This window comes from Homo sapiens, chromosome X (assembly GCF_000001405.40).
Source record: "Homo sapiens chromosome X, GRCh38.p14 Primary Assembly".
Classification (NCBI taxonomy): domain Eukaryota; kingdom Metazoa; phylum Chordata; class Mammalia; order Primates; family Hominidae; genus Homo; species Homo sapiens.
In genome coordinates this window covers 100,290,136-100,305,731 of record NC_000023.11, presented here as the reverse complement: position 1 = coordinate 100,305,731, position 15,596 = coordinate 100,290,136, and the positions used below count along the sequence as shown (strand labels likewise).

Genomic DNA, 15,596 nt, shown 5'->3' with positions numbered 1-15,596 from the left:
ATATCTTTTTCTAACCCCTTTACCTTAAGTTTATGTGAGTTCCTATGTGTTAGTTGAGTCTCCTGAAGACAGCAGAAACGTGGTTGGTGAACTCTTATTCATTCTGCCATTCTGTATCTTTTAAGTGGAGCATTTAGGCCATTTACATTCAACATTAGTATTGAGATGTGAGGTGCTATTCTATTCACTGTGCAAATTATTGCCTGAATACCTTTTTTTCATTGTGTTACTGTTGTATAGTTCCTGTGAGATTTATGCTTTAAGGAGGTTCTATTTTCATGTATTTCAAGGACTTGTTTCAAGATTTAGAGCTCTTTTTAGCAGTTCATATAGTGCTGTCTTGGTAGTGGCGAATTCTGTCAGCATTTGTCTGGAAAAGACTGTATCTTTCCTTCATTTATTAAGCTTAGTTTCACTGGATACAAAATTCTTGGCTGATAATTGTTTCATTTAAGGAGGCTAAAAATAGGACCCCAATCCCTTCTAGCTTGTAGGGTTTCTGCTGAGAAATCTGCTATTATTCTGATAGGTTTTCCTTTGTAGGTTACTTGATGCTTTTGACTGACAGCTCTTAAGATTCTTTTCTTCGTCTTGATTTCAGATAACCTGATGACTATGTGCCTAGGTGATGATCTTTTTGCAATGAATTTCCCAGGTGTTCTTTGAGCTCCTTGTATTTGGATGTCTAGATCTCTAGCAAGGCTGGGGAAGTTTTCCTCGATTATTCCCTCAGATGTGTTTTCCAACCTTTTAGATTTCTCTTCTTCCTTGGGAACACCCATTATTCTTTGGTTTGGATGCTTAACATAGTCCCAAACTTCTTGGAGGTTTTGTTCATTTTTTAAAATTCTTTTTCTTTTTCTTTGACAGATTGGGTTAATTCAAAAATCCTTGTCTTTGAGCTCTGAAGTTCTTTCTTCTTTTGTTCAATTCTATTGCTGAGACTTTCCAGTGCATTTTGCATTTCTCTAAGTGTGTCCTTGATTTCCAGAAGTTGTGATTGTTTTTTGTTTATGCTATCTATTTCCCTGAAGACTTTTCCTTTCATATCTTGTGTCATGGTTTTGATTTCTTTAAGTTGGACTTCACCTTTTTCTGGAGCCGCTTTGATTAGCTTAGTAATTGACCTTCTGAATTTTTTTTCTGGCAATTCAGAAATTTCTCCTTGGTTTGGATCCATTGCTAGTGAGCTAGTGTAATCTTTTGGGGGTGTTAAAGAACCTTGTTTTGTTATATTACCAGAATACTTTTTCTGCTTCCTTCTCATTTGTGTAGACTGTGTCAGAGAGAAGATCTAGGACTCAAGGGCTGCTGTTCATATTCTTTTGTCCCATGGGGTGCTCCCTTGATGTGGTGTTCTTCCCCTTCCCCTGGGGATGGGGATTCCTGAGAGCCGAACTGCAGTGATTGTTATTTCTCTTCTGGGTGTAGCCACCCAGTGGAGCTACTGGGCTATGGGCTGGTACTGGGGAGTGTCTGCAAAGAGTCCTGTGACATGATCTGTCTTCAGGTCTTTCAGCCGTGGATATCGGCACCTGCTCCAGTGGAGTTAGCAGGAGAGTGAAGTGGACTCTGTGAGGGTCCTTGGCTGTATTTTTGTTTAGTGCACTGGCTTTGTGTTGGTTGGCCTCCAGCCAGGAGGTGGTGCTTTCAAGAGTGTATCAGCTGCAGTACTATAGGGTGGATGCTGGATCATCTTATTTTAACAGGCATTTTTTAATGCATGTATCCAGATGAATGAAAAATGTGGAAATTTTTCTCCATGCTGCAAGGGCTGGTTCTTGGATAGCACTTCTTTGGCATCTGTCAGGTAACACCACATAGGTGTTTTGAATGCCAATCAGTGCTGGCATCCTTTCCCTTCTGCCTGATGTCTGTCTGTCATTCCATAGTGTTGTAGGGGAGGGCTGCTAACAAGGACGAGGCTAGGGAACGGGAGAACAAAAAGAAAGTTTTAGGGAGCAACCAAAAGTGGAGAAAATTGCTGAAAAAAAGGGAAGAAGGGAGTGAGAAAGAGACAAGTAGTTGTTTGTAGTGTAATTTGTGATGTGCTTCTTGTCACATAGAGTGACTACAGGATAGCTTGGTATCATTGGTTCATGAGTGTCTACAGATATCTCAGCCTTCACTGGTGTTCCCTTGAATGTTTTACGGATGGAATTCCATCTTTTTTTTGCTAAAATTTTACTTTAGAATACGACTGTAAACCCCCTGCAACATTACAGCCTGGGAGGGCTCTAGGAAGTTGTCATTACGCTCATATTGAATTTTTGCTAGATACATAACAGATATTTTCCATATGATATCTAAACACCCAAATAAGCCCAATCCTCAAGATATCAAACATATCAAAACCAAAATAAAATGCCTAAAGCCTTGGTAATATTTTCCTTCCTTCCTTCCTTCCTTTTTTCCTTCCTTCCTTTCTTCCTTCCTTCCTTCTTCCATTTCCTTCCTTTCTTTTCCATTGATCCCGTTGCTGCTTTACTTGCCTTGTTAAGTTACAGAGATGGGATTGATAATAGTGCAGGAGAGAGCACTATTAACTATTGTTAGTATAGAAAACTTGCAGGTCTATGGCAAATGTATTTTCAACGGGATGTTAGAGGGTACTAGATCTCTCTAACACCTGTATATAGTGTGCAGGAAACCACACAGAGGCTAAGAGGACACTTAATGTTTCTCAAGTTCTAAATTTACTTTACGCCTCTGACAAAGCTACATAGTTTACTTTGTAGGTTTCTGTAGTATTTATGATAAAATAGTTATTTCCACTTTAGGAGTTGCACAGTATCTGGGGTGGGACAGTATCTGGGGCGTTGACCAATATTCTTCCTTCTTTCTGTGCATTTTTCATTCAATTAAATTAAACTATTATTAACAGTTTAATTGACAGCTCTGTGCTGGACGCTTTGCTAGGTTGAGATAGATGTAATCTTTGCTCATCCAGAGCTTAAAAGGTAGCAGAAAATATAGACATGAAACAAGTACAGTTGTCTCTTGGCATCCATGGAGGATTGGTTCCAGGACTCCTGAGAATACGAAAATCTGTACATGCTCAAGTCCTGCAGTTTGCCCTGGGGAATCTGGTGGAACCTGTGGATAAATGAAAAGGTGACCCTACAAATCTGAGGGTTTTGCATCCCACAGATGTTGTATTTTCTATTCACATTTTGTGGCAGATGCAGAACCTGCAGATACAGAGGGCTGACCATATTTATTTTTAAAAACCTACATGTAAGTGGACCCATGCAGTTTCAAACCCATGTTGTTCAAGGGTCAATGGTAATTACGCGTGTGATGAATGTTATAAAAGGGAAGTGCTGTGAGATCTACCTTAGTCTAAAGGATCACAGAAGGACTCCCTGGGGAAGTGAAATTTAAATGGAGACTTCAGGGATAATGTATTAATCATGAATTGTGTTTAACCGCTAGTAATAAAGATGCCCCTCTCCTACTAAAGAAAATAAATCAATGACTTAAATAAGAGATATTTATTTTTCTTCTTATTAAAGAAGTTCAAGTTTGGTGAGGGTAGCTCTACAGTATCTTTAATAACCCAAGGTCCTTATATCTTTCTATTCTGCCACCCACAGGCACATGGCTTCTATCTTCAGGGTTGCCTCATGGTAGTCAGACAGATGTTGCAGCATCAGTCATTATGTCTCCATTCCAGACAGGACAAAGCAGGAAGGAATAAAGACAAAATAGTCTCTTACCTAAGTCAGCTCTCCCCTTTTAAGGAATTTTCTTAACATCTTGCTTTATAATGTTGGTCCAATCTTATGTTACATGTCTGCAAGGGAGCCTGTGAAATGTAGTTTCTTTTAGCTGAGCACACTGCCATTCCTAACAGAAATGGGGCTTTGTTTCTATTTAACAAAAACAGATAAAGATATTTGGCAGGCAATTAGTTATCTCTGCTTCATAGAGTAGGAGTTAGATAGGTCAAGGGTGGGTGGTGTACTTCTCAACAATTAGGTTTCCTCGATTAGGCACATGTGACCAATTTTAACAGCACTAAACTTCTTCATAATCATTGTCATAATCTCCTCCATTATATCTCACAAAAAATGGCCCTGCTTTGGTTACAGATTGTCTTGTTCATGAGGTGATGCAGAATAAACTAAGTAGATGTATAAGAGTACAATTCAGGAAGCTTGTCTGATATACACATCACTTGCTTGTTGGTTCTACTACTGCTGCCACTTAGAAGTAGCCAACTACTTGAGCTCTCAGGAACTGGAACTCACTTTAACTTTTTTCTTTCTGATTCATTGATTGCAGATTATTTCTGAAGAGGAAACATATTGCTCTTGTAACTGTAACCTTGAACTATTTTAGTGCTGGATTTTCGTCTGTGATCATTAGGATCTTTGAGTTAATACACCCAAACTCTGAATCACAGTAAAGAACTGCCAGCATTATCAAACACATCCATTGTGACTGGATATCTATACAAACCCAGCAGAGCCTCTTAGCTCTTCTATTCCACCAGGACTTGGAAAGTTTTAGCAAAGCCTGAAATGATGTTTTCATCATTTTCTTTTATTACTTTGGTGGGGACCATGGGTAGGCTCTTTCTAGTGTGGAAGTACATTGTTTGGCCACATCTGAGGAGATGGCAGTTTCATGTCCTGAGGAGAGTAGTAATTGCTGCATAAAGTTTTGCTATTATCTGCACAAAATAGCATATTCTGGTCTTTTTCTGTTTGAATTACTTCCTTAATCTATCATGACTTAGTCATTACTGCCTTACTGCCTCTTTTGCCTCTTGTACCCTCGCAAGACTGATGCTTTAATTTTTTTTTTTTTTTTGGCCAGGGGTTTTGGAATTCTCTCACCAAGTTTCCTGATGACAAATTGTGACCACCAAATACTTACTGCTATGTAGATTGAAGAAACTTTCACTTTTTTCTGTATTTTTTATGGTCTAAAATAATCAGATTTGTTTTGAACTAAGGAGTTCTCTGGTCTCAAGATTTGTGTTCCTCTTCCAAATTTATGCACTCTGTTCTTGTTTCTTTTGCAAATCCTAGGGACAACTTCAGAAGCAGGGAAAACCAATTTACAAATTCATCAGTCAACCCTCATCATGAGTATGTTTAAATTAAAGACACCTGCCTTCATTCATCTATACGTGAATTTCCACAACTATATGTGGATTTTAGAATGCCACATTTTGCTTTGCCTAGGTTCAGGTCAGAACTTTCAGATAAAAATGTAGCAAAGTATCAGGTCACAGATAGGTTCATAAGAAGAATCTCAGCAGGAACTTAGTGAATCGTGAGCCCATCTCTCTATATAAGCTGGAGCCAGCACCTTGACAGTTTGTGATGCTACAAAATGGTTCTTCTCTAGTCTCATAGCTCCATTCCCAGCCACTATACTACATGAGGACTGGCACATAATCTTTACAAGTCCTATACAATTACAGAAGTAGTCTTTTTAATTTTTATTTTTTTACATCTGGTCTGTCTTCATTGCTATTTTTAAGGGGCTTTGTATTGTGACTTTCTCACATTTACTACACAATTTCTTTACTAAACTGAAATTTTGATTTTTGAAAGGTAATTCATCTGCAGTATATTTATGAATGTAAATTACCCTGTGCTGGGCAGAGATGTTCTTCCTGCCTGTCTATATTGACAATTTTTATTTCATATATAAAGTGGCTATAAACATATTTAAGCTAAGTTAGACTTCATTGTAACTGTATAGACAAAAATGTCACAAAATATCTGAAACACAAAAATAAGAAACAGTAACTCAGTGCCCTTGGTAAGGACTTAAAAAAAATATAGGTATCAGATCCAAGCCAAGGATGAGACACTGTGAGTAAAAGAGTCTCTTAGATTCAAGTCTTCACTTGCGTGAGGAAGGGCAGTGCATATAATAAGTTTACATAAGTAATCTGAGAAAACTGCATATGATTCCAGCTCATATGGAGCTGAGGTAGGCTCAGTGAGCTTGGTGGGGAGGCTTAGACTGATTGCATTGTTGGGTGTGTCCTGAGTTAGTCTCCGTTTCTCTTTTCCCAACAGTGATTGTTTCATTTAGACAGTGGGTCAGCTGAAGGCAAGTACTATCTATACAGAGAAACCTCAGAGAAGATTGAATTCCCTGCTCTGGTCTTCCAAGATTTATAAGATCTTGGAGGTGTCTGTCTCTGGGCTCTCTATTCTCCCTCCCCAGATATTCTGGGGATCCAAGTCTCCTCATGCTGTTCATTTGAGGCAGCCTAGTATAGGGAAGGAGCATTGTACTTGGATTCAGGGTGACACATGGGTGGTATTCTCCTATTGAATGCTGTTGAAAAAAACTAAATCTCAAAATTAGAGGACAGTCACTTCATATTAAAAAACTCAAAGAAATAAGAGCTTCGTGTTGAAGACATTGGGCAGATGGTACTCAATTGTACTTCACTACTGCTCTGCTCTAGAAGTGTGAGCAAGTGGCCTGAAATATCAGTCTTAATCTTGGCTGGGATTTTCTTTTCTTAGTTGGTCATATGTCCATGGTTTCAGGGCTCAAGGGTTAGGTCTTTATGCTTTTATGCCTTTCAGGTAGGGACAAAAAGGGCAGAGATCTTATAGCCTTCTGGACATTTTTTTGCTGGCTTCCAGGGATTTTTACTCTGATTTGTAGAAATGGAAATAATTTATTGAACTTTTCCCCCACCTGCAACTGCTTACTCTCTCTACCCTGAAACACTCTCACTAATTTTTTAGAGGTATTATTTGGAAAGTTACCAGATAGGCCTTGGAAGAGATGAAGAGGCAAAAACAGCTTATTGGGAAGCCCTAAAGATGTGACTTCTGTTCTACTGAAGGGATCTTGGGACCTCCTGTGGAAAGCACTATATTTGGAGGAAACTGATTAAAAGTAGATCAACTAACTCTTCCACTCATACTGTTTAGTCTACACAAAGTGCTTCTCAAGTATATCCCAAAATGCTTCCCTTACTTTCATATTTTCTGCCTCCCAGGTACATGCATGTTGAATGATAACAGGGTATCAGATGGCAACACAGAGAGTTTGCAGGGAAGGGGCGGAGAAAGGGCCTTGACAGACCTTTCATTTTGCAGAAGTGGCCATGCAGCCTGATGTGGAACTGAGCTGGAGTTTGCAGAAACATTGTCCTAACTAGGTGGAAGGCACTTTCCCTGTTCATGATGTTGTTCATTTGTTATTTGGTTCCACTGTACAAAATTCTGAGTGTTTCATTGCCCAGCACTGAAAGGGGGATGAAAGTGTCCATCTTAAAGATAAATTGGCAAATTATGTCAAGGTACACTGAAGAGGTCTTGTCTTTAGTTTGCTTTTAAGTAGCTTAAATGAGGTCAAGGGCCATGCCCAGAATTGTGTTGAAATCTGGATTTAGCTTGGATTAGGTCCTTGATATTTAACAGGCTTCTAATGTCTTTCCTCCAAATAATGAAGTGTACAGCCAATTCAACCATTATTCCTTGAGCCCTCTGCCTTGTGCCCCTTCACCAAAGAACCTTTGATGAATGAGGCATAGCAGTACCTTGCTTTGCTATGCCATTTACTCTTTAAAAACAATGAAGAAGCAAACAAAAAACACCAAAAATATAGAAATACAAGTATACAAGGAAGATGTGTTATATATAGACTGATGCCAAGTAAGACTCTGAATTGCAGACATCTTCCCCCTGCAAAATAAGTCACAACATAAATATATATATTTTATATACATATGTATATATAAGATATATATATGTATTTTCTGTAAATGTTAAGCTGCTCATATTTTGATGCATTGCGCAATGTTTTCATTAGGTCATCCTCTTGTAAGAATGTAACATAAATATAAATAGATCTGGAAAACTAGGGCTATAAAACAAACATTGAGATTAACAGTTTTCCAGTAACAGGCAGAAGTTAACCCTGGGTCCATGCCTTGGTAAAGCCTGTGCAGTAAGCCTCTCTGAGAGCCAGATTGAAGCTTTAACCCTTAGTGAACCTGACCTGGAAAGATAAATCTATGTCTGCCCAATAATTATGAATTGTAACTGCTGAGATCTTCCAGGATGGAGTTAAAATAATCCATGAAAGATTTCTTTAAGAAATATTTCTCTAACAAAACTGCAGATAAGAAAGATAAGGAGGGATGGCTAGTTGGGTCTAATTAACAATGACCAACATGTCACTGATGTTTGCGTAGGGCCAATTGAAGCTTATGGGTCAGCTGGATAGAAGGGCTCTCAGTTTATTCCTTCTGATGGGAAATCAAGTCATGGAAGTGGCATAGTGAGGAGATTGGCTGGTGGGACTGGTGGTCAAAAAGAAGGGGTGTGATTGGGCTTTCACAGAGAGTAGGATATCAATCTAAAATTAAATTAAGCACTGTGTATCAGTGATGGGTAGGGTGGAAGGGTGTTTGGCAGTGCTGTTGTTCAAAAATATGGCCAAGGCTTCTTAAATACACTGACTGTTGGATTCCCTTCCCTGCCTCCACTCCCTCATCTGCTGAATCCAGTTTCAAACACAGGTGATTTTTAGCAGGAGTTGTTGATTAAAATGCTGACTCTCAGCACCTTGACACTCCAGATGAACTTTAGAATATATATGTATTTTCATCATAACGTGTTTCCCTTTAGGTTTTTTGTTTTGTCAGTAGTGGGAACCTTAAAAAGGATATACATAGAGGGAGATCTTCAGCCTTTTAAAAAAATCCAGTTCTTCACACTTGTCCCAAAAGGCAATAAAGGACTACCTAAAAGTGCCATTTCCCACAAGGGCCTGTGGATATCTAAGAAACCAGAACACTGGGGAGTAACAGTGAATCCTGGGAAAAGCTGATGAAATTGATATTTTCTTTTTTCCAAACAGATCAGAATGAAGGATTTCATTGCCGGGAAGAATGCCGGATTCTTGGCCACTCTGACAGGTGCTGGATGCCCCGGAACCCCATGCCCATCCGTTCCAAGTCCCCTGAGCATGTGAGGAACATCATCGCGCTGTCTATTGAAGCTACTGCTGCTGATGTCGAGGCTTATGACGACTGCGGCCCCACCAAACGGACTTTCGCAACCTTTGGGAAAGATGTCAGCGACCACCCGGCTGAGGAGAGGCCTACCCTGAAAGGCAAGAGGACTGTCGATGTGACCATCTGCAGCCCCAAGGTCAACAGCGTTATCCGGGAGGCAGGCAATGGCTGTGAGGCGATTAGCCCTGTCACCTCCCCCCTCCACCTCAAGAGCTCTCTGCCCACCAAGCCTTCCGTGTCTTACACCATTGCCCTGGCTCCCCCAGCCCGTGATCTGGAGCAGTATGTCAACAATGTCAACAATGGCCCTACTCGTCCCTCTGAAGCTGAGCCCCGTGGAGCTGATAGCGAGAAAGTCATGCATGAGGTCAGCCCCATTCTGAAGGAAGGTCGCAACAAAGAGTCCCCTGGTGTGAAGCGTCTGAAGGATATCGTTCTCTAAACCAGTCTCCAGGAAGAAGAGAAAGAAACCACACTGGCTAGTGAAGAAGCAGGAGCTTCTTGTTTTAATTGCTCACCAATGGTTGGTTCTTGAGTGGCTATATTTCAGAGCTTTTCCTAAATGTATTGTTTATAGGTGATTATCATTCTGTGACAGTCCCTTGTTTCAACAGGCAGCAGGGGTGTTCAGTTGGAGCAAATTAGCTTTGGCTTGAGTTGTTCATGGGGCCTTGATGTTGGGGAAACAGAGACAAATTCAGTTGTGAAAAGTATTATGTATTAAGTGTTTGAATTTATATATTTTTCTATGTCAAAATTATAATATAAATTACCATTGTTTGTGGAGGATTACATTTAAAAAAGCAAAAAGTGAAAAAAAAAAGCTCTGGACACCTTTAATAAGCTCGCCACTGTTTTTTGTAGTGTAGACAAGTTAATGGTCATTTATTGTGTACTATTCATTGATTCAGTGATGTGAAATTGAGCCCCCAAAAGGTTGTTTCTGAAGCTCGAGTACTTCCCAATGCCGCTACTTTGCTGTGGACACCCCTGCTTTAAAAACCCTTTTGCTAGCTGTGCTATTGTTGTATTTGATATTGCAAATTGCTATGTGTGTGGTGATGGCAAAAGGCTTTTAAAAGTTGGTGTTTTCTTTTTCTTAAAAAAATAATAAAACTACAGACAAAAACAAAGTGCAAACAACTGAGACAGCAAATGAATGAGCAACACCATGCATATAGATTGAGTACTTGGAGAATACTCACGTTTTTTAACTCATGTAGTGATTGCTCACCACTTTGCAAAGTATTTTTCCTGCCTTTCAGTGGTCTGCCCAGGTCCATGATAGATCATTGCAGAAAGTCATTTTTGGATAGGCTGCTATCTAATTTGCAGTTGTCAGAAATACTGTGCTGAAAGTTTTATGACATCCATCTTTTAAATTTTCAGGCCCTGAACAGGAAAGTTGCTCCTGAAGTTATGTTTCCAGGCTTAGAAATTCCCTCTCTCCAATCATCTAAAATTGAAGATGACTGAATCTATTTTAAGATCTAAATTAGCATCTCTTCAGACACACACTTCCTGATTCAGTGTTTCCCAATCATGATTAGAATTAGACTGCAAAGCACGTCATGGGCTGGGATTGAGAACTCCATGTTGCTCTGTATCTTAGGCTTATATACGTAGGGATAGAGTAAGCAGTACAAAGTGTATATTTTGGAAAAGACAGGTAACAGGTAACAGCATCGCTAATCCAATTACTGTGCCTTCTAAACGGAGACACTCAGACACTTGAACTCATCTTTTTATGACTAATAGTTTTTTGATTAAAAATGTGAACAAGAAAATACTAAAATAAAAATCCTTTCGATTTAGCCAACTCTTTTTGCTGTAGGCTAGGAATACACCCTTTTTAAATTAACACACTGTAGATCCTTTTTTTCTGTTTTAACATTCCTCTAACTCCCCCATTTATCTTTTGTCTATTAATATTCACTAGCCAACATAGTATTTTTGCAGCCTAAGAGTTCATTATTTAAAAATAAACTAAAGAAATATGTCACCTTTGTTCTGCCTTGGTCTTAAGAGAGTTGTTTCTAGAGAAACAAGTTTTATGGTTCTGTTTTCATTTGTTTCATTTTTTGAAATTCAGGAATACACAGAGAGAAGGCCTAGAGGTTAGAGCACTAGAATGCAAAAGAGGATTTATTTTCTTAAGTTTAGGTAGATAAGTCAGCTCTTTTGAATGTTTTACTTATTTTTGCCTGAGTTCCTAGCTTTACGCATTACTAGGAATATTTTCTTTTACAGGAGGGAGAAGGGTTTTGAGGGAGGGGGTGGGTAAGGCAGTAGGGATGGGGTTAGGTAGGGGAGAACATTTCTGAAAAAGAACTTATAATGAAGCTACAAATCCATCCTTATTTCTTATTCAGTGCTGAATACTACCTCATGCAAAATATTGGTGTGGCTGCAAATTTCCCTCTGAAGCTGACACAATTAAGGATGAATTACCATAACATCTTCATTTTTCCTCATTTCATTGCCTCTCATACAGTTTTCTCCCTCTGATTTATTTCATTTTGGTAGTGGATTTTGAATTAAGTATTTATTTCTCTTTGCAAGTGACTATTTGATTAACACATTAAAAATTTTTTAAAAATTTCCCCTTTAAGTTATGATGGCTGCCTATAGAATTTAGACTGTTTCTCACCCTGATCCATCCTGATATTATGTTATTAGCTACGATTTCAAGGTCACTTTGAAGTCAGACTTCACAGTTTTCTACAGGTGTATTTCTTGCTATGCTCAGTGGGAACCAGGGAGCAGAAAAGATTGTGGAAAGTGGGAACATTAATTGTCACGTGGCTGTTGAGCCAGAGAGGCCACTGGCTGCCATGCCTCTTACCAGCCAAGTTTTAAATGGTTAGAGTGGCATTGGCATTGATTTTGCTTTTCTCTTGGGTTTTCTTCATTTCTTTTCATAATTCATCTTCAAGCTATAGATCCATCCTTCTTCCCTATCCAAATACTTTGTTCTCAGTGGGCAGTCAGATTTTTTTGGCTTCCAAACCTCACTGAGCATGTTCAGAGAATTCCTCTCATTAAGGAAATATTTTTCCCCACAATTGTCTGATGTATGAGTCCTCTCAGAAGCACAAGTGCATACTAGGAAGGCTTTGTAAACTGGTTTTGTAGGCAGGCTGTACCTGCAAATAGGCATTCTGAGCAAGGATCCTAAATTTCCCTTTGGCTCATGTCCCCCCCGCCCCACCCCACCTTCTCCTTTTTGGCATGTCTGGTGAAAAGCTACAAGGTTCACAGGGCCAAATATTCTCCCTTTTGTTCTCTAAACATGTTGCACACATAAACTCAAGGGAGTGATTTCGGTTCCTAAGTCCTAGGGAGTTCTATTCCATTTATTCTGATGTCCCTTTTAAGGAGGAGTTGGTGTTGAAGTGTGACATGCTTTAATGATAACTGCTTTGGCAATTCCCCAGACAGGTATACTTCTTCATCCAAAATTGCACCTAAGGTGTTCATTTAGACAAAATTGTTCGCTTAGTGATCCACTGATCTCTAATCAGAAATATTTTTAAAAAATACAATTTAGATCTCTGAAAATTGGAACCACTCAAGAGTATCATCTTGATAGTGTTACTTCAGCATATGACTGACTGATTTTATGAAGGGAGTTTAGCTGACTTTTCCCTGTAGCCCTATCATATTAAAAACAAAAAGTGGTCCACTTGAAGCAGCAAGGACAAAGGGCAGTTTAGGGAGAGGCAGGGTGAAGGGGATAGCTCGATTGGGCATCCAGAGTGGAAAAGGATTATTATTGTACATAATAGCAGTTCTGGCTGGAATTCCAATCCACTTTCTGGGGATCATTTTGATGTTGAATGTTCCCCCAAAGCATTCTGACAAGTTTGGTCCACTTGGCTCTTTACCCCGGGTAATAAGACCCTTATTGACTTTGAAAAACTGGCATAAATGAGCTTAAGAAATCCATTGTATACAGTCCTAGTGTTTGCCTTCTTGGTAAAATTACATTTAAGGATGTCATTTCATGAGTCAAATTGTATCTGCTGACACTGAAGTGTATTGAGATGTTGTTCTTTAGTTTAAGTATGTAACAAAGTAATATTCAAAGGGGATGTTTGGGGGTGGGGCTGGGACCGGGTGGCTTTATATTGATAATGAAATATTCCAGAGCAAAACACATTGTCCTAATGAAGTTGTTGCAGCTCTCTTCGTTTTCTTGTGCCGCTGGAATTGGCTTGTGGGTCACTTGTTGTGCAAAAGTGAATTAATTTCAAATAGGAATCATATTGCTTTTGTGAAACAAAGAAAATTTACCACCTTGTCTGATACATAGATTGGAAGGCGCTCTTGGTAAAGAATAACCCACAAACACCTGATCTTGATTGGAAAGCATTGTAGGTCATTAGGGAAAACTGATGATGCTGACTGTTGCTCCAGCTGTGTTGGCAATTCAAGATGACCTTGTTACTAACTGAAAGTTGCTGTCAACCTTAGCAAACAAACCAGCTAACACCATTACAGCACTGGTTAAGTAGATTTTTACTGGCACTGGCTGGCGTTCAGCTGAGGAAGGCTAGGATACAGACTTTAATGACCAAGAGCCAGACTAGCTCGAGCTAGAAATCAGCAACAAATACCTCCTTGTGCTATTTGAATGCTAAGGTATTAGTTGCAATAGGCTTACGCCTTCGCTCCTCTAGTGAGGGGAATGAGCCTGATGACACTATTACTGTTTACCTGTCAAACCAGGGTGGAAATTTAGAGGGATGCAAGTACAGTATGTCTCATTAAGCAGTCTCTGTTGCTGATTATATGAAGATAAAATTGTTGTATATGCTGATCTGTATGTTATGTACATTTTCACAGTGATTGAATCATTGTAAAAAGAAAAAAGACAAAAAAGAATCACCACTGTCTATTTTATGAAGATGATAAAGCAGCTTTATTAAATTATTACAGTTATGTTTCAAATGGTGTTATCTGCCACATTGTTTCCTTTTATCTGGTGGTTCTCTGTTTCCCCCTTTAAATGTGTTTTCTCTGCTTCAAAAATTTAATGCATTTTAGTATTAAAGGCTATTATGGAAAAAGTATTGAGTGTTTGGTGGAATGTGTTTCAGAGAGTGTTTGTAGGCTCGCGGGAAGCGACTCTTAGACCTAAGAGGTCACCAGTCCTTAGCGGAGTCATTGATGTTCAGACCCCAAGGGATCCTTTTGCCTTTTCCATTTCACAGCATTCACGACCTCCAACTAAGGGGGGCCTCTTCCTCCAGCAGGTTCCAGCTATTTCCTGAGCACCTCCTCTCCTTCCTACCCCAGTGAATACCGTTGCCTGAGGAGGAAGACCCATACATATCTGGAATGGTAAAGACTTTCCTGGATGGTACTTTAAACAAGAGCGCTAAAGCCATTCTTTAAAATAAATCATGTCAGGGCAACTTCACAGTGAGACTTCTCTGAAGAATTAATTTAAAAAAAGGTGAGATATAGTAGAGGCTGACAGCAGGGGAAAAGAGAGTTTAAAACAAAGATGACCTGGCTGCCCCTTTGATGCCTTCAGGTTTGAAAGTGAAGCAACAGGAGAGGCTCTGACTTCGCACAGAACAAGGCTGCAGAGAAAGCCCTGACAAGTTTTCTTTATCCAAGCCATTATTCTCTGGGACTTAGCAGTTGGGCTGTAAGTATTCATTCTGCCTGCGACAGGCAGAAAAAAAGTCAGAGTAGAGGAAAAACAGGAGCATGGCAGAACATTTCCAAATAGTGCCGTTAGTGGTTAAAGGCTAAATTGCTTCAGCATGACCTATTCTCTCCGGACAATTAAAAATGATCTCAAGGAAATCTACTGTCTCCCTGGATCTCCATCTTCCTGTTATCTCTATCCACCTGTATTAAATTGAGATTGCATCTTATTCTCCAGAATTAGCCCTAAAGCCACAGCAATAGCCAGCAATTTGGTACTGTAGTTTAACAGGTGTTGCATCAGAATGCAAGCACAGACATGCTGGGACACATGGAGTCACATATACTGATGTATGTACAGATGTTCACGCAGACTCCCAGATGTTCATAAAGGCATATGGGAAGGAGGCTGCTCTGTCACTGGCTTGGAGGACATTAAGTCATAGGAGGCTATATGAGTACTTCTGAGGTAGTTCACACCAAAAACACAAAGAAAATAAGTTTCTTTGACCCCATTTCAACTACCTTTTTTTTCAGGGGGAGGGGCTGGAAAGGAAATAGCAACTCGATCCTAAAATAAGATCCTCCAAGGAATGAGCAAGAGAAAATAAAGTCTCACATGATGAAGGGCATTTACATATGCAACACAGGCATATCCAAGGTCATTGACGAAACCAGTAACTCTGCCTAAGTGTGGGAGAGTGGCAAGATTATAGGCGTAACCTCAAATCGATTCAAATTTATAAAACAAAACACGTTATTAAAACTATCGAAAGTGCTTGTGACACATATGTGTCACTGACATGCTGTGTGTGAAGTCAAGAAACCATGATGGGAATTGATATGTAAGAGGGCATTCTCCAACAGGAGATGATAGCTGCTCCAGAGACAAAGATACGAGTAACCATTTTTATTATTTCGG

General features: G+C 39.5%; 1 protein-coding gene across 3 annotated transcripts in view, besides 2 other annotated features; it reads left to right on the top strand.

The window, feature by feature from the left end:
* The window catches only part of PCDH19 (protocadherin 19), a 118,630-nt gene extending 104,542 nt beyond the window's left edge, over positions 1 to 14,088 (top strand). For all 3 annotated transcript variants that reach the window (NM_020766.3, NM_001105243.2, NM_001184880.2), the window contains one exon: positions 8,857 to 14,088. In NM_020766.3, the coding sequence (NP_065817.2) occupies positions 8,857 to 9,455 (599 nt within the window). In that variant the 3' untranslated portion in view covers positions 9,456 to 14,088. The remainder of the gene's footprint in view (positions 1 to 8,856) is intronic.
* Positions 8,628 to 9,177: an enhancer, noted in NCBI's record as "OCT4-NANOG-H3K4me1 hESC enhancer chrX:99551553-99552102 (GRCh37/hg19 assembly coordinates)". NCBI's record gives its function as "activates a minimal SCP1, AML or CMV promoter by ChIP-STARR-seq in naive H9 embryonic stem cells {active_cell/tissue: H9 hESC(naive)}" and the evidence as "EXISTENCE:reporter gene assay evidence [ECO:0000049][PMID:30033119]".
* Positions 9,178 to 9,729: an enhancer, noted in NCBI's record as "OCT4-NANOG-H3K4me1 hESC enhancer chrX:99551001-99551552 (GRCh37/hg19 assembly coordinates)". NCBI's record gives its function as "activates a minimal SCP1, AML or CMV promoter by ChIP-STARR-seq in naive H9 embryonic stem cells {active_cell/tissue: H9 hESC(naive)}" and the evidence as "EXISTENCE:reporter gene assay evidence [ECO:0000049][PMID:30033119]".